This window comes from Homo sapiens, chromosome 16, assembly GCF_000001405.40.
Source record: "Homo sapiens chromosome 16, GRCh38.p14 Primary Assembly".
NCBI classification, from domain to species: domain Eukaryota; kingdom Metazoa; phylum Chordata; class Mammalia; order Primates; family Hominidae; genus Homo; species Homo sapiens.
In genome coordinates, this window is record NC_000016.10 from 19,189,534 (window position 1) to 19,216,516 (window position 26,983).

The 26,983-nt window shown below is 45.9% G+C and overlaps 1 protein-coding gene across 16 annotated transcripts in view, besides 1 other annotated feature; it reads left to right on the top strand.

Moving 5' to 3' along the window:
• SYT17 (synaptotagmin 17) overlaps nucleotides 1-26,983 on the top strand; it is a 100,499-nt gene that overhangs the window by 21,700 nt on the left and 51,816 nt on the right. The gene's annotated exons all lie outside the window — the stretch shown is intronic.
• Nucleotides 3,203-3,371: a silencer, noted in NCBI's record as "fragment chr16:19204058-19204226 (GRCh37/hg19 assembly coordinates)". NCBI's record gives its function as "represses an EF-1alpha promoter that drives an FKBP-Casp9 reporter gene in an ReSE screen in HepG2 liver carcinoma cells {active_cell/tissue: HepG2}" and the evidence as "EXISTENCE:reporter gene assay evidence [ECO:0000049][PMID:32094911]".

The window sequence follows — 26,983 nt, forward strand, 5'->3', positions numbered from 1 at the left end:
GAGATGGAGTCTCATTATTTTGCCCAGGTTGGTCTTAAACCACTGGGTTCAAGCGATCCTCCTGCCTTGGGGGCCTCAAGTGCTGGGATTAAAGACGTGAGCCAGAATAGCTGCCCTGATTGCTGATTTTTGTTAGAAGCTAACATCTGCCTTCACCAAATTGGTTGGTTGGTCAGTGGAATGGAAAGGAGAGGAGGCAGTTGTGTAATGGTATATAAGACAAAGCTATTCAATTTCTTACTTTTAGCCTATTCTAATGGTGTGTGGAGTTGAGCTAATGCTTAGTGTCTAGTTATACTTTCTTCTTGGAAAACCCATGTGGAAGATGAATGGGTGGCTTATGGGGCCAGCATATAGGCACCTCCTGGTTCAGGGCAGAACATCCCATCTGTCTTGCAACATCCTACCTGACTGCATCTTTGATCTTGGCATTCAGGAAACTGGCAGCTAATGGAGCTATGGCATTTTTGGGGTCTCAGTGATAAGGTTGGCTGGAAGATAATGAAAATAAGACCATACAGTGAGTAGGACAAGGGGATTGACATAGACATGAAATTACACTGGCTATTTAGAGAAATTCTGCTCATTGGAATGGATTGAAAGCCATTGAAATCTGTGTAGGCTCAACTCTTTTAAAAAATTATTAGCTAACATGGTGAAACCCCGTCTCTACTAAAAATACAAAAAATTAGTGAGGTGTGGTGGCGGGCACCTATAATCCCAGCTACTTGGAAGGCTGAGGCAGGAGAAATGCTTGAACATGGGAGGTGGAGATAGCAGTGAGCTGATATCGTGCCATTGCACTCTGGCCTGGGCAGCAAGAGTGAAACTCCGTCTCGAAATTTAAAAAAAAATTATTAGTTTTAATTGTGGGAAAATACACACACCATGAAATTTACCGTCTTAACCATTTTTGCCTGTACAGTTCAGTGGCATTAAGTACATTCACATTGTTGTGCAACCATCACCACCATCCCTCTCCAGAACTCTTGCAAAACTGAAACCCTACACCCATTAATCAATAACTCCCCATCTCCCTCTCCCCGCAGCCCCTGACAACCATCATTCTACTTTCTATGAATCTGACAGTTCTAGGTACCTCATATAAGTAGAGTCATAGATTATTTTTCCTGTGGCTGGCTTGTTTCACTCAGGATAATGTCTTCAAAGTTCATCTGTGTTGTAGCATGAGTCAGAATTTCCTTCCTTTCTAAGGCTGAACTGAATAATATTCCTGTGTGTGTGTGTGTGTGTGTGTGTGTGTGTGTGTGTGTGTCATATTTTGTTGATTCATTCATCCTTTAATGGACACTTGGATTGCCTCCACCCAATGGACAACGGTGCCTCCACCGTTTGGCTATTATAAATAATACTGCTATGAACATGGGTGTGCAGATGGCTTTTTGACCAACTGTGTGTGTGTTTTTTTAAGCCATAAAAATATCCACGATGTAGGTGGTTCATTTTCTCTTGAGTTCATGTGGTTTGGGGAAGGAAGAACAAGGGCAGTGGAGAGATTAGATGCCCCGTGGCCATGCGGGAACCTTTCTGAGCATTAGGAAGGATACACAGTTGTATCCATTTGGCAAGGCTCATCCAGTATTCCTAAAGTTTGTGCATTTCACTGCATATAAGTTTAATCTAAAAAAAAAAACCCACCATAAACAAACACTGAACTCTGGTTAATGATATGCCGAAATGTGTATGGGTGCCATGGTCTGAAGTTTTCCTAAATTCGTATGTTGAAATCCTAACCCCGAGGGGATGGTATTCAGACGGCCTTTGGGGCGGTGGTTAGGCCATGAGGGCAGAGCTGTTATCAATGAGATTAGCGCCCTTGTAAAGAGGCTCCAGAGAGTTGCCTTGCCCCTTCCTCCATGTGGGGCAAAACCAAAAGGTCCCATCTATGAGGAATGGTCCTCAGCAGACATGAAATCAGCTGGTGGCTTGATCTTGGACTTCCCAGCCTCCAGAAGGGTGAGAAATAAATTCTGTTGTTTTCAAGCCGCCCAGTTGATAGTATTTTTGTTACAGCAGCCTGAATGGACTAAGACAGTGAGGAAGTGTACCAATGTCAGCCACTTATTTTGAAATGCATTCAAAAAAGATAGAGTGATAGATGGATAGGGAAGAAGCAAATAGAGCATATTTTAAATATAATTACAGCAGTGTTAATATCAGTAACTGTTCATTTCAGAATCTAGGGGATGTATCTAAGAGTGTGCACTGTACAGTTCTTTTGTTTTGTTTTGTTTTGTTTTTTTGTTTTTGAGACTGTGTCTCACTTTGTCGCCAGACTGGAGTGTAGTGGCATGATCTCGGCTCACTGCAACCTCTGCCTCTCGGGTTCAAGTGATTCTCCTGCCCCAGCCTCTCAAGTTGCTGGGACTACAGGCGCCCGCCACCACACCCAGTTAATTTTTTGTATTTTTAGTAGAGATGGGGTTTCACCATGTTAGCCAGGATGGTCTCAATCTTCTGACCTCGTGATCTGCCCATCTTGGCTCCCAAAGTGTTGGGATTACAGGCGCGAGCCACCGCGCGGCCGCACTGTACAATTCTTTAAGCCTCTCTGTATTTGAAAGTGTTGAGAGTGTAAGCCATGGCCAGGCACGGTGCCTCACATCTGTAATTCCAGCACCTTGGGAGACTTAGGAGGGAGGATCACTTGAGGCCAGGAGTTCGAAATCAGCCTGGCCAACATGGTGAAATCCCATCTCTACTTTTTAGTACAAAAATTAGCTGGGTGTGGTGGCGCATGCCTGTAGTCCTGGCTACTCGGGAAGCTGAGGCATGAGAATCGCTTGAATCCGGGAGACAGAGGCTGCAGTGAGCCAAGATCGCACCACTGCACTCCAGTCTGGACAGCAGAGCGAGACCCTGTCTCATAGAAAAAAAAAGAAATGTAGACTGGGTGTGGTGGCTCATGCCTAAAATCCCAACACTTTGGGAAGCCAAGTGGGAGGACTGCTTGAGGCCAGGAGTTCGAGACCAGCCTGGGCAACATGAAGAGATCCTGTTTCTACAGGAAAAAGGGAGAGAGAGAACATTCATAAGAAAACGTTGAGGAGCAAAAGACAAGAAGTACCGGTGCCAGTTAGGAAAAATTGCTGTGGTCTCTTAGGTGAGAGGTGGTGATGATCTGGACCCTGTGTAAGGTGGCGGTGACAAAGGATGCAATTTGAAAGCAGAGGCTTTGATGCCCAGAAGCAGCCTTTGAGGAAACTATAAACAAGGAATATCAAACAGTGCGGGGTCGGTTGGGGGTGGTCAAGTGGGTTTCTACTACTGTGATGGTTCTCTTACTTTAACAAGCATCCGAATCAGGTGGGAGCTGTGACTGTGGAGCCTCCAGACCTCAGCCTCCCTAATTCTGATTTCCCACATCCTGGGTGAGAGGCCCATGAATCTGCACTTGAGCCAATGGGCTGGGAGATTCTAATGTAGGTAAACTCTGGACCTCGTTCCGAGAAACACTGGGTGGCTGGTGGAAGGTGAAAGGTGAAAGGTGGAAGGTGGAAAGGGTTCAGACATTTGACCTGCCCAGACTTGCATCTAAAACTTGGCTCTGCCACTTAGGGGTTGGATGTTGTGATGGTTTCATAAGCTGGCGTGGCAAGTGCTGTGCCCAGCTGCTTCAGTGGCCGGTGTGCAGGGTGCACCCAATACAGGGCTGCCACTAAGATGATATTTTATGGAGCTGTTCTGGGAAGGAGTAGATTCAAGTTAAAGTGCTCTTAGGCATTCATGTAGAAGAGTTCTAAGTCATGTCAGGATGCAGTATCTTACATTACAAAGCCAGATTGCCCACTGAAGAGGAATGTTTGATTTGGGCCTAGAAGAAGAAAATATGTTTAGTCAAAAGTGATATTTGCACACTGGAATGCTGGATATTTATGTTTCCGAACATTGCTTCAACCTGAGATTTGCACTGCCCAAATGAAAGCCTTTTAGACCTTTGATGTCTAGAATTCAGAGCATTGTGGCTTAGGAAGCAGAGTCTGTGCGTGTGGCCACTAACTAAGCTGTCTTCTCCAGTGTCTGCTGACACCTGGGAAAGTCATCTGTTATCCTAGGTTGGGTTCCTCTAAAGACAAAGATTTGAGTGCTTGCATTTTCTTTAGGAAGTGATGCTGAGAAACACCAGAAGAGAAGGGAGGAAATGAGACCAATAAAGTGTCTCACCACTGTGGGCAACTAGAGCTTAATCATACTGGGGAACTCAGTGTAGCCTACCCCAGGGGTGAGGGAGCTGGGGTATTTATTCACCGAGTTCCCATGTGGCATGGGTTGCAGGATGCTCCCAAAAGTCCTTAATTCCCTGGGCACCTCCAACTTGCCTTGTGGGCACAAGTAGGAAAGACTCCACTGGCCGAGAGACCTAAGCAGAGATGTGGGGCTGACAGTAGGCAGTCAACGAAGTCTGTTCTGGTCGGGGCTAGGTGCTGTGGTGGGCACCTTTAGCGTTGCTACACTTTCTCTTGCCACCCTCAGGGCTCAGAATGCGGCATCTTCCATGCCTCACCTTCTCCCTGCTTGCCATCTCTCTTCATTTCCCCTTTCCTCTGATCAGGAAGGTGCAATGCAGATGAATAAGAACATTGGCTAAGCGGAAACCTGTAAAGAAAAAGATGCCAGTCCCCCCTTCTTATAGAGGTGCCCAATCTTTGCAAGTGACTGTCTTGGCAGCCATGTCTCTCTCTGAGCTTTTGGGGGAACGGATGACAAAGAAAATCTATAGCTGTCTCCATTCAGCCAATGCTCCCTCTCCCCTCACCCCTTTTACATGTAGATACTGGGAGTAGGGAGGATTGTGAATGCTGCAGAACCACCTCTCCGCCTCTCACAAATCACAGAGAGAGATGTTGTGTCCCAGATGTTGCTGGCCCCTGGGTACTTCTCCTTGGTCTTCACTTTGGGCCAGGGCAGCGTGTTCTGGGGTCAACAGGAAACACCCTCACTCAGCATCCTGCTGATGTACAGGAAAAGGTTTGGCCAGCCCCTGGGGCAGAGTAAATACCCCATAGACATCAGCATTTGTTGTTATTTCGTGTTGGTATCTTTATTTATTTATGTATTAGAGACAGGGTCTCACGCTGTCACTGAGGCTGGAGTGCAGGGGTGCGATCATGATCACTGCAGCCTCAAACTCCTGGGCTCAAGTGATCCTCCCGCCTCAGCCTTCCAAGGAGCTTGGACCACAGGTGTGAATTACCACGCCCAGCTAATTTTTAAATTATTTTTTGTAGTGACGGAGTCTTGCTGTGTTGCCCAGGCTGGTCTCGAACTCCTGACCTCAAGCAATCCTCCTGCCTTGGCCTCCCGAAGTCCTGAGATTGCAGATGTGAGCCATCACGCCCAGCCAAATAAAAGGGTTCTAGTCTTGGTATCTTTGGCACTTGGAAGGAACTCAATAGATGTCTTCTGAATTGAACAAATATTGTGTAAAGAGCATGCGCTTTTGAGTTAGACTGATCTGGTTAAAAGTTCCAGCTTCACCATTTCCCAGCTGTGTGAACTTGGGTCTAACTCCTAGGCTGTACATTAGGGATAATAATTCTTACTGCATGGGGATCTGGGGGAGCACTGTGAGGATAGTGATGGTGGCAAGCTCTCACATAGCACTCACTGTGCACTGGGCATTCTGCTAAGTGCTTTTATTGTGTGAACTATTATTATCACCCCATTTTATAGATGAAGAAACTGAGGCATGCATTAAGCAACCCATCCAAGCCACAGAACTGGGACTTGAACCCATGTCATCCAGCTGCAGAGGCTGTACTCTCAGCCAGTCTCCTCCATGGCACTGCTTCTTTCATTTATTTATTTAACCTTTTTTTAAAAATCAAAACAAAACAAAACAAACCTTTTTTTTTTTTTTTTAAGAGATTGGGGAGTGGGGGCAGGCATGGTGGCTCACACCTGTAATCCCACCACTTTGAGAGGCTGAGGCAGGCAGATCACCTGAGGTCAGGAGTTCAAGACCAGCCTGGCCAACATGGTGAAACCTCATCTTTACTAAAAATACAAAAATTAGCTGGGCATGGTGGTGGGCGCCTCTAATCCTACCTAGCTACTCAGGAGGCTGAAGCAGGAGAATCGCTTGAACCCGAGAAGTGGAGGTTACAGTGAGCTGAGATCACACCACTGCACTCCAGCCAGGGTGAAGGAGCAAGACTCCATCTCACTCCTGTAATCCTAGCACTTTGGGAGGCCAAGGCGGGGGGATTATGTGAGTCAGGAGTTCAAGACCAGCCCAGAGAAAAAGAGTGAGATCCCCATCTCTACAAAAAATTTAAAACTTAGCCTGATGTGGTGATGCACATCCACATTCGCAGCAACTCGGGAGGCTAAGGTGGGAGGATCACTTGAGCATGGGAGGTGGAGGCTGCTGTGAGCTATGATGGCAACACTGCACTCCAGCCTGGGTGACAGAGCCGGACCCTGTCTCAAAAGAAAAAACCCACCAAAACCAAAAAGACTCAAAAAAAAGATGGAGTCATGCTATATATGCTGAATAAATGGTGATTGGGAACCCAGGTGCCAGAAGGTCACAGGGAGGGACCCAAGGAAGGAATGTACCAAGAAGGAGGGAGATTGAGACACAATTGAGGTTGAAACCAGAAGGAATTGGCTTAGAATCTGATTTGTGCTTCAATTTATACTACTTTGGTCATAACCATGCCCCAGGCAGACAGTCGATAGAAGAATTTTTTTTTTTTTTTTAAAGACAGAATCTTGCTCTGTTGCCCACGCTGGAGTGCAATGGCATGATCTCGGCTCACTGCAACCTCCGCCTCCCGATTTCAAGCATTTCTCCTGCCTCAGCCTCCTGAGTAGCTGGGATTACAGGCATGCACCACCACACCCGGTTAATTTTTGTATTTTTAGTAGAGACAAGGTTTCACCATGTTGGCCGGGCTGGTCTCGAACTCCTGACCTCATGTGATCCACCCGCCTTGGCCTCCCAAAGTGTTGGGATTACAGATGTGAGCCACCAGCACCCAGCTGAAGAATTTTTTTTTTTTAAATGACTTTATTTTTTAGGGTGGTCTCAGGTTTATAGGAAAATTGAGAGGAAGGGACAAAGGTTTCCCATATACACCCTGCCTCCACACGTATGTAATCTCCTTTGTTATCAGCATCTCCTACCAGAATGGTACATTTGTTACAACTGGTAAACCTACACTGACACATCATTATTACCCCAAATCCATAATTTACATTAGGATGCTCTGGGCGTTGTGCATTCTGTGGGTTTGGACAAATGTATAATGACATGGGTCCACCATTGTAATGTCATCCAGAATAATTTCTCTGGGACTTTTTTTTAAGCCAAAATACTTGATAATTTGAGGTGCTCAGAGTTATGTGCTCATTGGACCCGGTACTTGGAAACTGCCTGGAGTTACAAACGCCCCCAGCCTGCCTTGTCAGCTGCCAAAAACTGCCTGGTAAACAGAGACACCTTACTGCATTTTGTATTTTGAGATCACTCACCACCTGGCACCTTACCAGACGAGGCTCTTGACAAGGCAAATGCCAGGTTTCTTAATGAGAAATCCCTCTTTAACTTGCCCTGAGCTGCTGTCAGCCTTGACCCTCTCCGTAGAGTCCTGGCCTTTGTGTGTATGTTAAAAATTGTTTCCCGCTCAGGTTCTGATGAACAGCAGTGTTTTGGCAATGTTGTGTGGCCAGAGCTGGGCCCAGGCCAGCGTCTTACAAAGCAGCCATTAACTAGAAGTTTCTTTTCATGCGGTCCTTCATGTTTTCTTCCTCCTTAAATAGAAATTGATTCATTTTAGATATCAACATGCACTTTTTTGTTTGTTTTGATTTGTTTTTTTAGAGACAGGGCCTCTAAAGAAAGAGGACAGGTTTTTTTTGTTTTGTTTTGTTTGTTTGTTTGTTTGTTATTATTATTATTTTTTTTGAGACAGGGTCTCACTCTGTTGCCCAGAATGGAGTGCAGTGGTGCAGTAAGAGTTCACTGCAGCTTCTACCTCCTTGGCTCAAGCAATCCTCCTGCCTCAGCCTCCTGAGTAGCTGGGACCACAGTCGTGAGCCACCATGCATGGCTAATTTGCTCAGCCGTGTTGCTCAGGCTGGTCTTGAGCTTCTAGCTCAAGCAATCCACCTGCCTTGGTCTCCCAAAGTGCAAGGATTACAGGCATGAACCACCGTGACCTGCCTCAACATGGACTTTTGATTCCTAGTTATAAAATGAACTAGAAGAGGAACCAGAGGTGATTTGGACCAACTTTCCTGTTATGTAGACTAGAGAACTGCAGCACAGAGAGGTTGAGTGACTTGTCCAATGTCACATGGCTTTCAGGCAGGAGGTCTTGCTGTACTGTACCAAAACTCACTGTACTAACTTCTTTACCCCACAAGGGAGGCGATCTCATGATAGCTAAGAGCATAGACCCTGGAGTCATACAGACTTGGCTTCAAGTCTTGGCTTTGCCATCCACTAGAGGTGTAGGCTCAGGTGAGTTACTTGTCATCTCTAAGCCTCAATTTCCTTGTCTGTAAATGGGGATTGTGTGGTGTGCTGGCTCCCAGAGCCAATTGTTAAGTTTTCAGGAATTTTGCAAGCTGGTTAACATCATCACATTGATAGCTGGAGACCAGCTATTGTATATGAAATTGACCAGTGTCATAAGTTAGAACCTCTGCCCACCCCACCCCGAGAACTAAAGATTTACCACCACAACACTGATCTCAGTAGTACTTAATTTAAAGGGTTATTGTTGGCAGTCAGACTTAGTCGTTATGAAGCATGAAGATCAGAGAGCCTGGCACATGTTTACAGTGGTGCCATATCATGGTCAAAAGCACAGACCTAGTGTCCTTTAATTTTCAGGTCAGAGCCAGCCCAACCACTTCCAGCAGTGTGACCTTGGGTAATTACTCAATGTCATTGATAATAATCATTGCTAGCTCTCCCTGAGTACTTACCATGGATCAATTACTGTTCTAAGGGCTTTCATTTCCACCCAGGGGCTATTATTATTCCCATTTTACAGTTAAAGAAACTCAGGCACAGAAAGTTTGAGTAACTTACCCAAGGCCATGAAGTTAGTGAATGGAGGAGACTGTGTTCCATTGAACATGAGGAGGCTGTGTTAACTGTTGCCCTGTCTCACTGAGGCTCAGCTTGTTGGAAAATGGCAAGAATAACAACCCCAACATCAAGGGTCATAGTTAGGCTGTCATCTGATAATGCCTGTGGCATGAGGCAAGGCCTCAATTAATGTGAACTTCCTACTGGTAACACTAAATAAATGTCAATGTCAGTCATTACCATGATAATTACATTGAAGTCTTCCTAGCCAAGAAATTTCAACTCAGTTTGATTGAGGAGAATAAAGTAACAATTGTCATCCAAGCAATTCATCAACTTCATCTGGGATTGAGAAGATGAGGCTATGAGCTCTGAGTGGTCGGTGGGTGGGTGGCCCAGGTTTCTGGTGGTAAGCTCCAGAGAGAACATGAAGGGCTTTGTTCAGAGAGGGAGAAGCTGAATGTTTCCAAGGGCTGTCAACATTGATTGACCACATATGTATGGCAGGTTCTGGGCTATAAACATGAGTGAGAGCCTGGTCCCTGCCCTTGAGACTCTCATCGTAGTGTAATAAGTATGAGCATTTGTCAGATGTGTCCTGTTTCCTGACACTGTGCAAAGTGTTTTCTATATGTGGTCCCACTGCAGACTCACTCAAGCCTGTGAGGTATGGTGACCCTCCTTCATTCTACACAGGAGGAAACTGAGGTCCTGGTTAATGAGTGACTCACCTAAAGTTATTCACGGAATGGTGGAGCTTGGACATGAACTTAAACAGGGTGACTTCTGAGCTCAATATTCTTATTACCTGAAGTTGCCTTTGAAAAACAGTCATGGCCCTCAATATCTATCATATTAGGCTGGGCACAGTGGCTCACACCTGTAAACCCAGCTCTTTGGGAGGCCAAGGCAGGAGGATGCTTGAGGCCAGGAATCCAAACCAGCCTGGGCAACAAATCAAGACCCCTTCTCTATAAAATAAAAAATTAACCAGGCATGTTGGTGCACACCTATAGTCCTAGTTACTTGAGAGGCTGAGGCAGGTAGATCCCCTGAGCCCAGGAGTTCAAGGCTGCAGTGAGTTATGATTGCACCACTGTACTTCCAACCTGAGTGACAGAGCAAGACCCTGTCTCAAGAAAACAAACAAACAAACAAAAAAGGATGATATTGATATCTATGAATGAGAAAACTAATGGGGCTATAAGAAAAACGTCTTTACATTTCAAGCAGCAGCAAAACTGACTTTGGCAGCTTAAGGAAATGACGAATAAGATGATGATAGGCTCATTTATTAAATCTGGGCTGTAAGCCCTTCACATATATTAACCCATTTAATTCCCACAACAACCATATGATTGGTGTCTTTACTATCCCTATTGTACAGATAAGAAAACTGAGGCCAGGGAGTTAGGAAACTTGCCCACAGTCATCCAGTTAGTAAATGGCAGAGCCAGGACTCATGTCAGACTCTCTAGGAGAAAGAGAGGGTGGTATTGAAAGGATAGTGGAGCAGTTTATAGTATCAAAAGAGGTGAATCACCAAGGCCTCAGGTTAGCTCTGGGAATCTCTAGACTAGGTCCCCATGGACTTCTCTCTAGAGCAGTGCAGCCCAACAAATACAACATGGGCTGCATATTAATGGGCCATATACATGGGCCCATATACATGACCCTAACTTTAAATTCCTAGGAAACACATTTTAGAAACTAAAAAGAAATAGGTGAAATTTACTGTAATATTATTTTATGGAACCCGATACATCCAAAGTGTTATCATTTCCACAAGTCATCAAAGTAAAATATTATTGATGTGAAATTTTACATTCATTTTTCACACTAAATGGTTGAATCCATTGCCTCTTGTACATTCACAGCACATCTCAATTTGCACTAGCCCTATTCAAGTGTGCAGCAGCCATAAGAGGCAAGGGGTTCCTCTACTGACAGCAAAGCCTTAGAAGGATCAGATTAATTGACTTGGCTCCATGGACTGAGGTCACTCCCTCTTCATTTCTCTCCATTCGAGTTTTATTTCTAGGTGATAGAGAATCCAGTGGGTTTCCCCCTTGGGCAGGGTGTCCAGGGCAGGTGCAGTCAGATATGTCTAGATGGTGTGGCTAGAAGGTGTTCGATCTTGACTTTTACTACAGCTGGTGTTGGCCTCAAGATGTGTGTAAACCCAGTGTTGAGAGAAAGAAGAGAAGAGGAGAGGTGAGATTGAGGGTTTAGTTTCAAAAGAGCTTCTGTCCCTGCTGGTGACCCTGTGACCTTCCTTAGGGAATTAAACTGGGCAACCGAGAGGTGATGTGTGGAGGCAGAAGGTCGGATCAGCTCATCAACATCACTGGAATAAAGGCTGCACATTCCAGAGGGGGGACCAGCTGGGGGGCAGCTCCGACTCCCCACCACCCAGGGCTCTCTCAATGGTCCCTCAGTGTTCTTGAGGCCAACAGTAGAGGTCTGCTTCAGCACCAGGTCCCACTGAGGCCCCAGCTACTGCCGGACAGTCCAGGGGACCACAGCACCTGCACATAGAACCTGTGTGAGAGAGGAAATTGGTTTCTGGGTGGCACAAAGGTGGTCATGGAGGCCTGTTTATCTGCGGCATGGAAGGACTTGCCTCCCGAGATTTGTGTGATGTGTCAGGACCCTTTGGGCCACCAGGGACACAGCCCCAACTCAGGCTTCCTTCATGGGGGACAGGGGAAGAGGTACTTAGGGAACTGAGAACCCTAGGAGTTCCCTGAGCTTCAGGCACAGCTAAATTCAGGGACTCAAACCTTGTCGTCAGATAGACTCTTACACAGTAGGTTATCAGAATCAATGACCACCAGCTGACTCCTGTACAAATGCCCAGTGTCAGCCCCACCCAAATCACAGCAAAAGAGCTTCTGACACTGGAAAAAGTGGGGAAGGGAGGAGTGCTAAACAAATAGAAGCCACAGATATCTCTTCTGTGGCCCCCCAAAACCAAAGACTGAGAGAAGGTGCCATTTTCAATAATAGGGAGGGCTTCTAAGGGCAGCAGACATAAGAAAGGAAAGTAGCTACAAGGGATGCCCCTGCTTAAAAAAAAAAAAAAAAAAAAGACCAATAGATCTATTAGATTCTTACAGTGTGCCAGTATAGTGGGTAAGGGAGTAGGCTTTAAAATCTGACAGACCCAAGTTCCAGCCCTGACTTGACCACTGACACGTTCATTCATTCAACAGATACTTACTGAGCACTTGCTTAGTCCAGGCATTAGTGTTCCAGGGGATACTCACTGTGTGACATTGGGGAAGTTACTTGACTTCTCTGAGCCTCAATTTTCAGGGGGAAAAGTAGGAGTAAAAGCCAAAAAGCATAGTTTTCAAGAGTTCAGGATCTGGAGTTAGTTTCTTTATGTTCATACCTTGTAAACTGTTTTTACTCACACTTCTGACACCAAGTTTGTGGGGTTTTTTTCCTCATACCAACCACTTCTCCATTTCTCTGGACACCAACTTGGTGTCCTTCAATTCAATTCATACGGACACTAAATGCCTGGAGTTAGTGCAGACCCCACAGGTTAAGATCTCAGTCCCATAAGATTGCCCCTGCTTCAGATACCAGTCAAAAGCCCCAGGGTGCCACCTGTACCTCTGACTGACCTGGCTAATAAATTGGGAGTTCCCACGACCCCCTCCTCAAGTTCAATAATTTGCTAGAAAGGCTCACAGAACTCAGGAAAGCACTTTACTTACTATGACCAGTTTATTATAAATGACACAACTTAGGGACAGCCAAGTAGAAAGGATGCATAGGGCAAGGCATGAGGCAGGGGGTTGTGTGTGGTGCTTTCACGCCCTCAACGGGCACAGCACCCTCCCAGCACCTTGATGTATTCGCTAACCTAGAAGCTTTCTGAATCCCTTCATTTAGGGTTTATATGGAGATACCATTATATGGGCAGGATGGATTAAACCATTGGCCATTGGTGTCAGAACTCAACCTCCAGCCCCTCCCCTCCCTGGAGGTCTGGGAGTGCAGCTGAAAGTTCCAACCTTTTAATCATGCTTTGATCTTTCTGAAGACCAGTCCCATCCAGTCATCTCATTAACATACAAAAGACACTCTGATCATTCTGGAGATTCCGGGCATTTTATTTTTATTTTCATTTGAGACAGGGTCTTGCTCTGTCACCTAGGCTGGAGTGCAGTGGCGCAATGATGGCTCACTGCAGCCTTGACCTCCAGGTTCAAGCAATCCTCCCACCTCAGCCTCCAGAATAGCTGGGACTACAGGCATGCACCACCATGCCTTGCTAATTTTTTTCTATTTTTTGTAGAGATGGGGTTGCCCAGGCTGATCTCAAGCTTGTGAGCTCAAGCTATCCCTCCACCTCGACCTCTGTAAGTGTTCAGGGGTTTTGGAAGGTCTTTGCCAGCAACGGGGACGAGGATCCAATATGTATTTTCTATTCGCACCTTGGCTCTGCCACCTACTTACAATGTGATGTCAGCACATGCCTGGACCTTTCAGGCATGAAAGATCCCTTTACTGTCATATATTATGAGGATAATAACAGTAACTCTCCCATAGGGTTGCTGTGAAGATTAAAGGGGAAAATAAAGGAAAGCACTTGGCCAGGCGCAGTGGCTCACGCCTGTAATCCCAGCAGTTTGGGAGGCCGAGGAGGCTGGATCACTTGAGGTCAGGAGTTCAAGACCAGCCTAGCCAACATGGTGAAACCCCGTCTCTACTAACAATACAAAAAAAAAAAATAGCTGGGCGTGGTGGTGCATGCCTGTAGTCCCAGCTACTCAGCAGGCTGAGGTAGGAGAATCGCTTGAGCCTGCACCATCATCGAAGGGCCCTTTGAGAACTGAATGACATAATGTGATAAGAAGCAAGGTGCTCAGCCCCAAGTGTGGTACAGAAGTGATTGGTCAATGTTTCCGCTGTGGTTATTTGTTTATTTAGTCAGCATGTTAGGGGGTTGCCCATATGTCGGCTCTGGCTTGGATCTTGGGGATAAAGTGGTAAGTGAAGGGCTCGCAGTCTAGGCTGAAGGCCACAGTTAGAAACCAGAATCCTGAGTGGTTCCCTCCGCTGCAGGGACTCTGTCATGGCTCTGTGCCCAATGCAGCACCTTTGCCTGGCACAGGGTGGAGTTTCTGCTGGTAGAATAAACAGCCACGTGTTCACTGAAAGAGGTAAATCTCAGGCTCACAGGAAAGCACGTGGCAGGGATACCTGCCCTGCTGTGGGTGGGCTGCGCATGGGATGGGGGTTGGTGGATGGTCTGGAATGTTCTGTTTACCTGGCACATAGTTTTACCGTGTGGGCAATGGTGCAACATAAGATTGACGGAAGCGGAAGCTGGGGAATGAAAAGCCTCAGGCCAGGCCATGGATCTTAGCGCTTATCCTGAGGGGGATGGGAGCCGTTACAAGACAAAAAATAGGGGAGGCCCTGGTCAGATTTGAATTTGAGGTTGCTGTTTCTGGAGCAGAGTACGAGGTGGACCTAGAGCAGGGATTCTCAGCTTTGGCACTCGTCACACCTTGGGCTGGACCATTCTGTGTTGTAGATGCCGTCCTGTGGGCAGCACCCCTGGCCCCACCCATTAGATGCTAGTAACTCCCTCTCCCCGACTTGTCACCACCCAAAATATCTCCAGACATTGCCACATGCCCCCTGCAGGGCACAATCACCCCCTTGAGAACCACTGATTTGAGAATGTTTGAGAACAGGGCAAGGTGACCTTAGATGTGGTGGGGGAGGGATCCAGGAGTGATTTTGGACAGGCATGGGGGGCTTGGAGGATTTTTTGGAGTTGGAAACGACACGAGGGCAGAGGGTGAGGGAGGTCTCTAGAGCCTCACTCAGCTTTCGGCGTTGAGGTGCTTGCTGGTTAGGGGTGCTGGACAGTGAGACAGGAGGAGCAGGTGAGGATGGGGCAGGGTGGTGCTGATGAGCTAAGTTTGGGGTGCAGGGTGTTGAGGATGAGCACCCCTGAGGAGGCTTCCAGTGGACTTAACTAAAGATCCCTGAGTGATCTCATCTGATGCCGTGGCTTGAAACACCTGTGTTATCAGTATTTCCGGGGCACTTGTGAAACATTCTGATTCCCAGGCCCCTCCCCTGAAGAATCTGATCAAGTAGGCTCTGGGAGGCCCCAGGAATCTGTATTTACAAGCACCCTCAGTGGCTCTGTTGAGGGCAGCTTTGGAAACACTGAACTTAGTTTGCCGCCTGCTGGAGTGGCTGGCTCACGTCTCACTCCTACCCTGGACTGTTGATTTTGCCCCAAATTGCTCCTCCGCCGGTGTTCCCCGTATCCATCAGTGACACCCGCATTTATCCCCAAACCCAGGAGCCATAGCCTACACTCATCAGCAAATCAGGCCAGCCCCATCAACCCCTTCAAACCCTTCTACTCCTACAACCAGGTCCAGGCCACCTTCACTTCTCACCTGCAGTGTTAGGACGCCCCTCATGGGTCTCCCTGCTTCATTCCTTTGCATTGCATTTCTCAACCCAGCAGCCAGGGGAATACAGTAAAATAAATGTCAGTTCATGTCTTACTCCTGCATCTAACCTTCTAATGGCTTCCTGTCTCATTCAACATAAAATCTAAATGAGACTCAGCCCCTGTATCTCCCTCCAACTTTATTTCCCTGGTCAGTGGCCTCCTGGACTCTGCTTCGGCCACATCAACTTTGCTGGGTATCTCAGGCACACCTGGAGTGGCCCTACCTCAGGGCCTTTGCACTACCATGTCTCTCCTTGGAATGCTGTCCCCCCAGATACCTTCATGGCTCCCTCTTTTCTTCACTCAGGTTACCATCTCAGAGAGGCCTTCCTTGACTTTTTTTTTTTTTTCTTTTGAGACAAGGTCTCACTCTGTCACCCAGGCTGGAGTACAGTGGCGTGATCTCAGCTCCCTGCAACCCCTGCCTCCCAGGTTAAAGTGATTCTCGTGCCTCAGCCTCCTGAGTATCTGGGACTACAGGCATGTACCACCACACCCAGCTACTTTTTGTATCTTTGGTATAAAGATACAAAGATACAAAGATACTTTTTGTATCTTTAGTAGAGGCAGCGTTTCACCATGTTGACCAGGCTGGTCTTGAACTCCTGACCTCAAGTGATCCACCGGCCTCGGCCTCCCAAAGTGCTGGGATTATGGGCGTGAGCCACTGCACCCAGCCCCTTGACTTTCCTTTTAAAGAGCAGCCCTATCACTTTCTATCCCCGATGCCAGCTTTGTTTTTCTTCCTAGCACTTAACTGCTATCAGACATTACATATTAATTTCCTTATTATGTTTCTTCCACTTTAATGTGAACTCCAAAAGGAGGGGGATTTTTTTCTGTCTTGTTCCCTAGTGGTACATAATACATGTTCAATAAATATTTATGGAAGGGAAGGAAAAAAAGGAAAGGAGAAAGAGAAAAAAAGAAGGCGTAGGCAGGACTAGAACTCATAAAGAAAGTATATTTGGGTTACATAGTCAGTGTGATAGTAGAAATGACAGGCGTCAAGAAAATTGCCAAAAACACCATATAAAGTAAAGTAAAGGTGACTAGGAGTTGAATTCTGGGGAAAACTACATTTAAGGGCAGGAGAGAAGAAACAAGAACTGTGGAGACCAAGAAATAGAAGCTAGAAGGTAAGAGGAAGAGCAGGAGCGGACAGTGTCATGTGAACAAACGGAAACATTTCAAGAAAGATCAGCCTTCTCCACTAGAACTTCATGGGGTATATATATGGTATGTGTCCTCCTTTTCTTAGGAGGAAAGGAATGAGGCTCAGAGAGGTTCAGCGGCATGGCTGAGGTCACACACTCAGTGTATGTGGGAGAGCTGGGATTGCAATGGAGGTCTGTAACTCTTTGTCTTTTGTCTTAGTCCACCAGAGTGTTAGTTTTCTGGGGCCACTGTAATACACACTGGGTGCCTTAAAACAACAGGAATTTATTCCCTCACAACTCTGGAGGCTTATAGTCCAAATTCAGGGTGTTAGCCGAGTTGATTCCTTGCAGACCTCTACAGGAGAAACCACCCCAGGCCTCTCCTGTGGCTTCTGATGGCTGCCAGCAATCCTGGTACTCCTTGGCTGAGAGATGCATCCCTCCAGCCTCCACCTCTGTCCTCACCTGGCATTCTCCCCTGTGTGTCTTAGTCCATGTTTCTTCTCCCCATTTCATAAATCCAGTCCTATGGGATATAGGGCCCACCCTACTCCTGTACGACCTCATCTTGACTCAATTACATCTGCAAAACTCCTATTTCCAAATAAGGACTGTGGACCCCCATTGCTATAGTTTGGATGTGTTTCCTCTGCCAAACCTGATGTTGAAATGTGATCCCCAATGTTGGAGGTGGGACCTAATGGGAGGTATTGGGTCATGGGAGTGGATCCCTCATGACTGACTAGGTGCCATCCTCATGGTAGTAAGTGAGTTCTTGCTCTGTTAGTTCTGCACAAGAGCTGGTTGTTTAAAAGAGCCTCGTGCCTTCCCCATCTCTCTTGCTTCCTCTCGTGCCCTGTGATCTTTGCACACGACAGCTCCCTTTCCCCTTCTGACAAAAGTAGAAGCAGCCTGAGACCCTCACCAGAAGCAGAGGAGATGCTGGTGCCATGCTTCTTGTACAGCCTGCAGGACCACGAGCCACTTAATCCTCTTTTCTTTATAAATTACCCAGCCTCAGTTATTCTTCTATAGCAATGCAAAATGGACTAAGACAGTCATATTTACAGGTGTATTAGTCTGTTCTCACACTGCTATAAGAAATACCTGAGACTGGGTAATTTATAAAGAAGAGGTTTAATTGACTTACAGTTCTGTAGGCTGCATAGGAAGCATGGCTGGGGAGGCCTCAGGAAACTTACAATCACGGTGGAAGGCAAGGGGGGGAAAGAGATACCTCATATGGCCAGAGCAGGAGGAAGAGACAGAGAATGGGGAGGGGCCACACACTTTTAAACAACCAGATCTCCTGAGAACTCTATCATGAGAACAGCACCAAAGGGGGAAATCCACCTCCATGGTCCAATCACCTCCCACCAGGCCTCACCTCCAACATTGGGGGAAAGTTATGTAAGGTCACTACCCTCAATGAGCTCACAGCTTCGTGGAGCAGAAAGATAGGGAACAAGGTGGCCACTCCCTCAAAAATGAAAATGGGGCCAGGCACAGTGGCTCATACCTGTAATCCTTGGGGAGGCCAGGGCAACAGGATCACTCGAGGCCAGGAGTTCAAGGCTGCGAGCTGTGATCACACCACTGCACTCCAGCTTGGGTGACACAGTGAGACCCCGTCTGTAACAAAACAGGAAAAAAAAGAAAGAAAGAAAGAAAATGGAGCCTTACCTCATAACACAGACCAAAATCAAATCCTGATGGTCAGGAACTGATGAATGGCCAAACTTTAAGTTTTATAAGGAAATAAAGATCTTTATGAGCTTAGTATAGCAAAGCACCTCTTTAAAAAGTCAGAAAATAAAGTATGAACCAATGAAGGCAAAGAGGGATGCATCCTACCACATTAAAATGATGAACTTCTGCTTATCAGGAAACATAGTAAAAAGGATTAAAAGGCAAGCCACAGACTGGGAGGATACGTTTGCTATACACATATATTAGTTTTCTAGGGCTGTTGTAAGAAAATGCCGCAAACTGGTGGCTTGAAGAACATAAATTTACTCTCTGCAATTATTGGAGGTGTATTAGTCCTTCACACTGCTATAAAGAACCACCTGAGACTGGGCACTACTAAGAAAAGAGGTTCCGTTGACTCACCGTTCTGCATGGCTGTGGAGGCCCAGGAAACTTACAATCATGGTGGAAGGTGAAGGGGAAGCAAAGCACGGCTTACATGGCAGCAGGAGAGTGAGGGGGGAAGTGCCACACATTTTTAAACTGTCAGATCTCATGAGAACTCACTCACTGTTATGAGAACAGCATGGGGAAATCCACCCCACAATCCAATCACCTCCCACCAGGTCCCTCCCCTGACATGTGGGGATTAAAATTCCACATGAGATTTGGGTGGGGACAAAGAGCCAAATCATGTCAGGAAGGTGTTGGCAAAGCTATTATCTGTACCAGGCCTCTGTCACAGTGTCTGGTGGTTGGCTGGCAATATTTGGTGTCTATTGGCTTATAGATCTCTGCCTTCATCTTCACGTGGTATTCTCCCTGTGTGCATGTCTAAATGTCCTCTTTTCATCAGGACATCAGTCATTGGATTAAGGCCTACCCTACTCCAGTATAACCTTATCTTATTTAATCACTTCTACAAGGACCTTCTTTTTTTTTTTTTTTTTTTTTTTTTTGAGACAGAGTCTCGCGCTGTCACCCAGGCTGGAGTGCAGTGGTACGATCTTGGCTCACTGCAATCTCTGCCTTTCGGGTTCAAGGGAGCTGGGATTACAGACACCCACCACCACACCTGCCTAATTTTTTGTATTTTTAGTAGAGATGGAGTTTCACCATGTTGGTCAGGCTGGTCTCGAACTTCTGACCTCAAGTGATCTGCCTGCCTCAGCCTCTTAAAGTGATGGGATTACAGGCGCGAGCCACTGCACCCTGCCAGGACATTATTTCTAAATAAGGTCACATTCAGAGATCCTGGGGGTTGGAAATTAAATATGAATTTTGGGGAGGGAAATAATTCAACCCATAAAAACATGTAATTGCTGAATAATAGTATCCATAATACTTAAAGGCCCTTCTAGAAATTAATAAGAGAAAGACAAATACACAATGATCAAAAAGAAATGAGCAGGGTTTTCATAGATGAGAAAGCATAAGTAGCTGATAACACAACAAGGTGCTCACCTCTTTAGCAGTCAGGGAAACCCAGATTAAACCCACAAGATACCCATCAGATGAGACTAATGAAAAGCCTGACAATAACAGACCAATATAATCCAGTGTGAAATGCAGCTTGTCAGCCTCACTGGGGGCTTATGGAGGAAGGGCATTGCACTCACATAGAAAGTCAACATTTCGGCTGGGCGCGGTGGCTCACGCCTGTAATCCCAGCACTTTGGGAGACCGAGGTGGGCGGATCACAAGGTCAGGAGATCGAGACCATCCTGGCTAACATGGTGAAACCCTGTCTTTACTAAAAAATACAAAAAAAAAAAAATTAGCCGGGCGTGGTGGTGGGCGCCTGTAGTCCCAGCTACTCGGGAGGCTGAGGTAGGAGAATGGCGTGAACCCGGGAGGCGGAACTTGCAGTGAGCTGAGATCGTGCCACTGCACTCCAGCCTGGGAGACAGAGCAAGACTCTGTCTCAAAACAAAACAAAACAAAACAAAAACAACAACAACAACAACAAAAAACCCTAAGTATCTAGCAATAGGAAAATGGTTAATATAAGTTACAGTATTTCAGCCTAATGGAATGTTGTATGTGAACATTTATAATGACACTTATAATGTCTAGATAGTCACATGGAAAATGTGTGTGTAATTCTTTTAGTTTTATTATATTTTATTATTTTATTTTTATTAGTACAAATTTATGAGGTACACATGAAATTTTGTTACATATGTAATATATAGTGATAAAGTCATAGTATTTAGGGCTTCTATCATTCTGGTACAATACATTTTTGTTAAATATAGTAACACTACTCTACTATCAAACATTTATTATTATTATTTTTTAATTGAGACGGAGTCTTGCTTGAGGCAGGAGTCCTGAACTCCCGGCTTCAAGTGATCCTGCCACCTTGGCCTCCCGAAGTGCTTGGATTACAAGCGTGAGTCACCGTGCCCAGCCCCAAACATTGAATTTTTTCCTTCTCACTAACTGTATGTTTGTACCCTTTAACCCACTTCTCTTTATCCTCTCCCCTCTGATCTAAGGGTATTTTTTTTTAAAAGGGTATTTTTTTTTAAAGGGTATTTTTTTTTTTTAAATACCCTTTTTTTTTCTTAAAGGGTATTTCAGAATGTGACTGTATTGTCAATGCAGCTATGCAAATACAGGGTTGAGGTATTGACAAAGACTGGGAAAAAAAGTGAAGAGAAGAAAGAAGAAGAAAGAAAAGGAAGTGAAAGCATTTGATGAAATGTGTAAAGCACTGGCATTGCGGTTGGAGTTTGCTTTTTAAAAAATCCATTTCTATTTTAATGTTGTTTGTGCAGCAGATTAAGAGACAATAGACTTTATCCAACCGGTGAGAGCAAAGGCATAAGGGGGCGCAGAGCAGCTGTGTTTGGGCTTCACTAAAATTTGTGTGCGCACATTTGAAACCCTTTGCTAGGTGAGAGAGAGCGAAAGGACCATAGAGAAGGAGTTCAAAGCAAACCTGTCAGGAGGAGAGCTGGGCTCTTGCTATCTCCAGAAAATGTCTTTTGTCCCAGATGATTTTCTTTGATTTCCTTTTTATTGATTAGAAATTAACTGTGTTGAAAGGCTGCCGGGAGAGAGAATTTTTGTCTGGGTAGAGAGGAGAGAGCTGAGCCACATTTGCCCAAGCCGGCTGCTGGATTCATCTGAGTAATTTACAGATTGTCTATTTTGGTTCTCCCTAGCCCACCCCACGTGGTTCGACCAAATTAAGCGCATCGGGCTCTTACAAGAAAGGAAATGAGGCCTGTTTATTTGTGACATCGCTTCCACAAGGGACGAGGTAGAAGTGGGCCTGTCACCCAGTTCCTTCTCCTGTCTTGGCTTCGATTCTGTGGGGGTTGGATAGGACAGGGGGTGGAACATCGTGCTGACAACCCCTCTCGGCCCGTGGTGTGGCAGCAGCTCAGCCTCTGTGTTGGGGGCTGCACTGCTTGATCTTGGATTTGTTTCTGGTGCTGTGAATATAGTAGTGGACACATGGGCACTTTCTTTGCCTTTATGGAGAAAAAGGTAAGGACCAAGTACCGTGAAGGAAATGACAAGGTGGTGTGATGGGAAATGATGGAGGCAGAGGGGTGTTTTCAACTGAGTGTTAATGGGAAGCTTAGATGAGGAGGTGACTGTTGAGTTGAGATTCCCAGGGAATAGCAAGTTCAAGCCTTGGGGCAGGTACGATCTTGTATTTTTTTTTTTTTTGAGACAGAGTCTCGCTCTGTCGCCGAGGCTGGAGTGCAGTGGCGGGATCTCAGCTCACTGCAAGCTCCGCTCCACCTCCCGGGTTCACGGCATTCCCCTGCCTCAGCCTCCCAAGTAGCTGGGACTACAGGCGCCCGCCACCAAGCCCGGCTAATATTTTTGTATTTTTAGTAGAGACTCGGTTTCACTGTGTTAGCCAGGATGGTCTCGATCTCCTGACCTCGTGATCCGCCCGCCTCAGCCTCCCAAAATGCTGGGATTACAGGTGTGAGCCACCGTGCCTGGCCAATGATCTTGTATTTTTAAAGAATAGAAAGAAGGCAGAGGCGGTTGGTGAGTGAAGTCTCAGAGGTAGGCAGGAATCAAATCATTTGGATCAAATCATTTCGATCCCGTAGATAAATTATTTTAGAGACCATTAGTTCTCAACTGGGTGATTTTTGCCCTCAGTGGACATTTGACGATGTCTGGAGACATTCTGAGACTTTACCACTGGGGAGAGGGGTGATGCCGCTGGCATCCAGTGTGTAGAGGCCAGAGATGCTGCTAAACTTCCTGTAGCGCACAGGACAGCTCCCACAACACAGAATGCTCCAGCCCAAAGTGGCAATAGTGCTGAGGTTGACAAACCCTGTTGTTGACCAGGCTAAGCACTTTGAATTTTATTTTGAGAGATGGAGGGTTTTAAACAGGGAAGTGAGGCCGGGTATGGTGGCTCACACATGTCATCCCAGCACTTTGGGAGGCCAAGGTGGGCAGATCACTTGAGGTCAGGAGTTCGAGACCAGCCTGGCCAGCATGGTAAAACCCTATCTCTACTAAAAATACAAAAATTAGCTGGGCATGGGGGCTCATGCCTGTAATCTCAGCTACTCGGGAGGCTGAGGCACAAGAATCACTTGAACCCAGGAGGCAGAGGCGACAGTGAGCCAAGATTGTGCCAGGGCACTCCAACTTGAGCCACAGAGCGAGATTCCTGTCACAATAAATAAATAAATAAGAAATAAACGGGGAAGTGAGGTAATGGCATGGTTCCGTTTTCTTTTAGAAAACCAGAATATTGGTCTAAATTATTTCAGCTCTGACATTCCAATCTTATCTCACTAAATTTGGATAAGGAAGACTTCACAGAGTTGGAGATCCTACCAGAACAAGCAATCCATTTTCCTTGGGAGGGCTGAACCCACTTCCTAGGAGGATTTTTGTATTTGGTGCTTGGATGTCCACTTTGCAGTGAAAAAGAATGGCTTAAGGAGAAAGAAGAAGGAAGGAAATCTTAGCTGGATCTTTCTGGGCTCTGGATTGTGGCTGGTGCTTTGGCCTCTTCAGATCCAGAGGGGACTGAAGACAGACTCAGTGGAGGCAGTGAATAGACTTTTCTTTCTTCTTAAGAGACAGGGTCTTGCTGTGCCTCCCAGGCTAGAGTGCAGGGGTTCAATCATAGCTTACTAAAGCCTTGTTAGAAACAAATGTGCAGTGTCACAAAGAAAATGAGCACTAAAACAAAGGATTTCCCAGTAAGGCAAAATTTACTTCTGTAGGAAGGTGTTTCTCACAGGTCTAGTCATCATGAGAGTGCACTGAACAAAGGAGGGAAGGGGTTTTTATCCCTAACGTAGCTTGTCCCTGCTACTGTGTCCTGCCTCCACAGGTTGGAGTTGGACCACACAATCTAAGCTGAACCTGGTTGGCTAACTTGGAAAGTGCGGGAATGCGGTTACACTGGCAGGAAGGACAGTTTTGGTGGGAAGAGCTGCTGTGATGGGAGGGGTAATTTACAGAGTGGGTAGTAGATGTAGGCTCTGTAGATAAGGACCAGTGGAAGAGTTGTTTACTGAAACCAAGACAGGGAGGTACAGAGAGCAAGGAAGTTTGGCCTTAAAAGTAGAGAACAAAGAACAAGGAAACTAAACAAGCTAAACCTTTGAAGAGGAGCTTCTCGCATCAGATAGCCTCAAACTCTTGGCTTCAAGCATTCCTCCTGTCTCAGCCTCCTGAGTATCTGGGACCACAGATGCATGCCACCATGCTAAGCTAATTAAAAAATAAAAATAAAGAAAGTTTAGAAATGGAAGGTGGGAAGGTTTTGCTTTGTTGCCCAGGCTGGCCTCAAACTCCTGGCCTCAACCCATCTTCCCACCTCAGCCTCCCGAGTAGTTGGGATTAGAGGCTCAAGCCACTGCACCTGACGAACTGTTCTTATACCAAAAGTTCCAAGTCTTCGGTTCCTGTTAAAATTTTGTTCAGGGTACAGTTATGTATTTAAAAAATCTGAATCAGCCCAAGATTTATAGGCTTAGTTCAGGATTTCTCACCTTTGGCACTAGTGATATTTTGGGCCAGACCATTCCTTGTTGAGGGGGGCTGTCTTGTACCTTGTAGGATGTTTGGCAGCATCCCTGGTCTCTCTCTACCCACTAGATGCCAGTAGCAGACCCTACCCTATTCCCCAGTTATGACAACTAAAACATCTCCAGATGTTGCCAAATGTCCCTGGAGGTGGCAGCAGAGAGGACAAAATTACCCCAGGTTGATGCAAGTTGGATGTCCTAGCACCTCATGGATGTCTGTAAAGATCACCATTAATTTCATGATCTTCCTAAGTGGGGCAAGTTGAGGAGCTGCTGGACTAGATGGTCCTGCTTTCTGTTCCTACATTCTAAGCTCCTTATCAGCTGGCTCCTGGTCAGCTTTTTTTGTTTTGTTTTAAATTAGAGACCATGTGTTGCTCTGTTGCCCAGGCTGGAGTGCAGTGGCACCACCAACATTCACTGCAGCTCCGAACTCCTGGGCTCAATTGATCTTCCCACTTTGACCTCCTAAAGCTCTTGGATTATAGGCATGAGCCACCATGCTTGGCCCTCGTCAGCTTTTAGATGTAGCATCTGATACTTCTAGGGAAGAAGGACTGAGAAGATGCTGGCTCCAGGAACACCCCAGGGACATTTTTGTCCCTAGATTGTTAGAGCCGACATTTATGATGCCCAAGTGAACGATGTTATTCATACGTACAACATATTCTGGGGCAGAGACCCTGAGTGTGATGGCAACTCTCCTTTTCCTCCAGGGCTGGGTTAGGATAAGGCTCTGAGGCCCCCAAGCCCTGAAAATTATGGCGCTGCTCACCATATGTCATTCAAGATAATAATAATTCTCTTTTTTTTTTTTTGAGACAGAGTCTTGCTCTGTTGCCCAGGCTGGTGTGTAGTGGTGCAATCTCAGCTCACTGAAACTTCCGCCTTCTGGGTCAAGGGAGTCTCCCACCTCAGCCTCCTGAGCAACTGGGATTGCAGGCGCCCACCCCACACACAGCTACTTTTTGTATTTCTAGTAGAGACGGGGTTTCACCATGTTGGCCAGACTGATCTCGAACTCCCGACCTCAAGTGATCTGCCTGCCTCGGCCTCCCAAAGTGCTGGGATTACAGGCATGAGCCACCGTGCCCGGACAAAAAGGACTGCTGCAATAATTCTCAAATGTAAATCTCAGCAATGTTCTGATTTCTCAACGGGAACTGCAGTGCTATTTCTGAAATACCAAATTCTTGCCAAAAATTATATTTCTCTTTTTTTAAAATTTATTTGATGTAGAAGTGGGGAGGGCATCATCCACTCCTAAGTGGCCAAGAGCACACACCTGTTCTGAGGGAGAAACCAGTATTGTCTTTAACACTTAACAACAACAACAAACCAGGAATGTAAATGGGTGAAGGTGATGTTGTTTCTAAGGAGAATCCTCACTAATTTATTTCAAACATCCAAATTATTAACCATCTTTGGCTGCTTTATTTTATTTACTTATTTTTAAGATAGGGTCTTTCTCAGTTGCCAAGGATCTATCATAGTTCACTGCAGCCTCAAACCTCTGGGCTCATGCAATCCTCCCACATTTGCCTCTTACATAGTTGGGACCACAGGTACTCACCACCACAGCTGGCTAATTTTTTAATTTTTTTGTAGCAAAGTGGGGCATCTCACCATGTTTACCAGGCTGGTCTTGAACTCCTGGCCTCAAGCAATCCTCCAGCCTTGGCCTCCCAAAGTACTGGGATTACAGACATGAGCTACTGCACCCAGCCAACTTTATTATTAATAATAAGTTACTTGGCCCTTGTATTAGTCTGTTCTCATGCTGCTGATAAAGACATACCTGAGACTAGGCAATTTACAAAAGAAGGAGTTTTAATTAGACTTACAATTCCACGTGGCTGGGGAAGCCTTGCAATCATGGCAGAAGGCAAGGAGAGCAAGTCACGTCTTACATGGATGGCAGCAGGCAAACAGAGAGAACTTGTGCAGGGAAACTCCTCTTTTTAAGACCATCAGATCTCGTGAGACTTATTCACTATCACGGGAACAACATGGGAAAGACTTGCCTCCATGATTCAATTACCTCCCACCAGGCCCCTCCCACTATATGTGGGAATTCAAGATGAGATTTGAGCGGGAACACATCCAAACCATATCAACTTTTATATAATAATATTGATAAATTCAGGATCAGAACACAACAAAGAGTATTGGGGCTTTAGTGAAGGCTTCCCTCATTCTGTTCCATCTGTATGGGGCACCCTTCCCTGCAATATTTGCTGGACTAAATCCTACTTATCAAGGCTTAACTCAAATGCCTCCTCCTCCATGAAGACTTCCTTGACCATGCCCCTCCCAAGAATAGATTGTGCTTCAGTCTGTCTTGGGTTTCATTTATATTGCTGATTAATACTTGAGCCCTACAATTATTTCTTTTTTTTTTTTTTTATTATACTTTAAGTTCTGGGGTACCTGTGCAGAACGTGCAGGTTTGTTACATAGGTATACACATGCCATGGTGGTTTGCTGCACCCATCAACCTGTCATCTACATGAGGTATTTCTCCTCA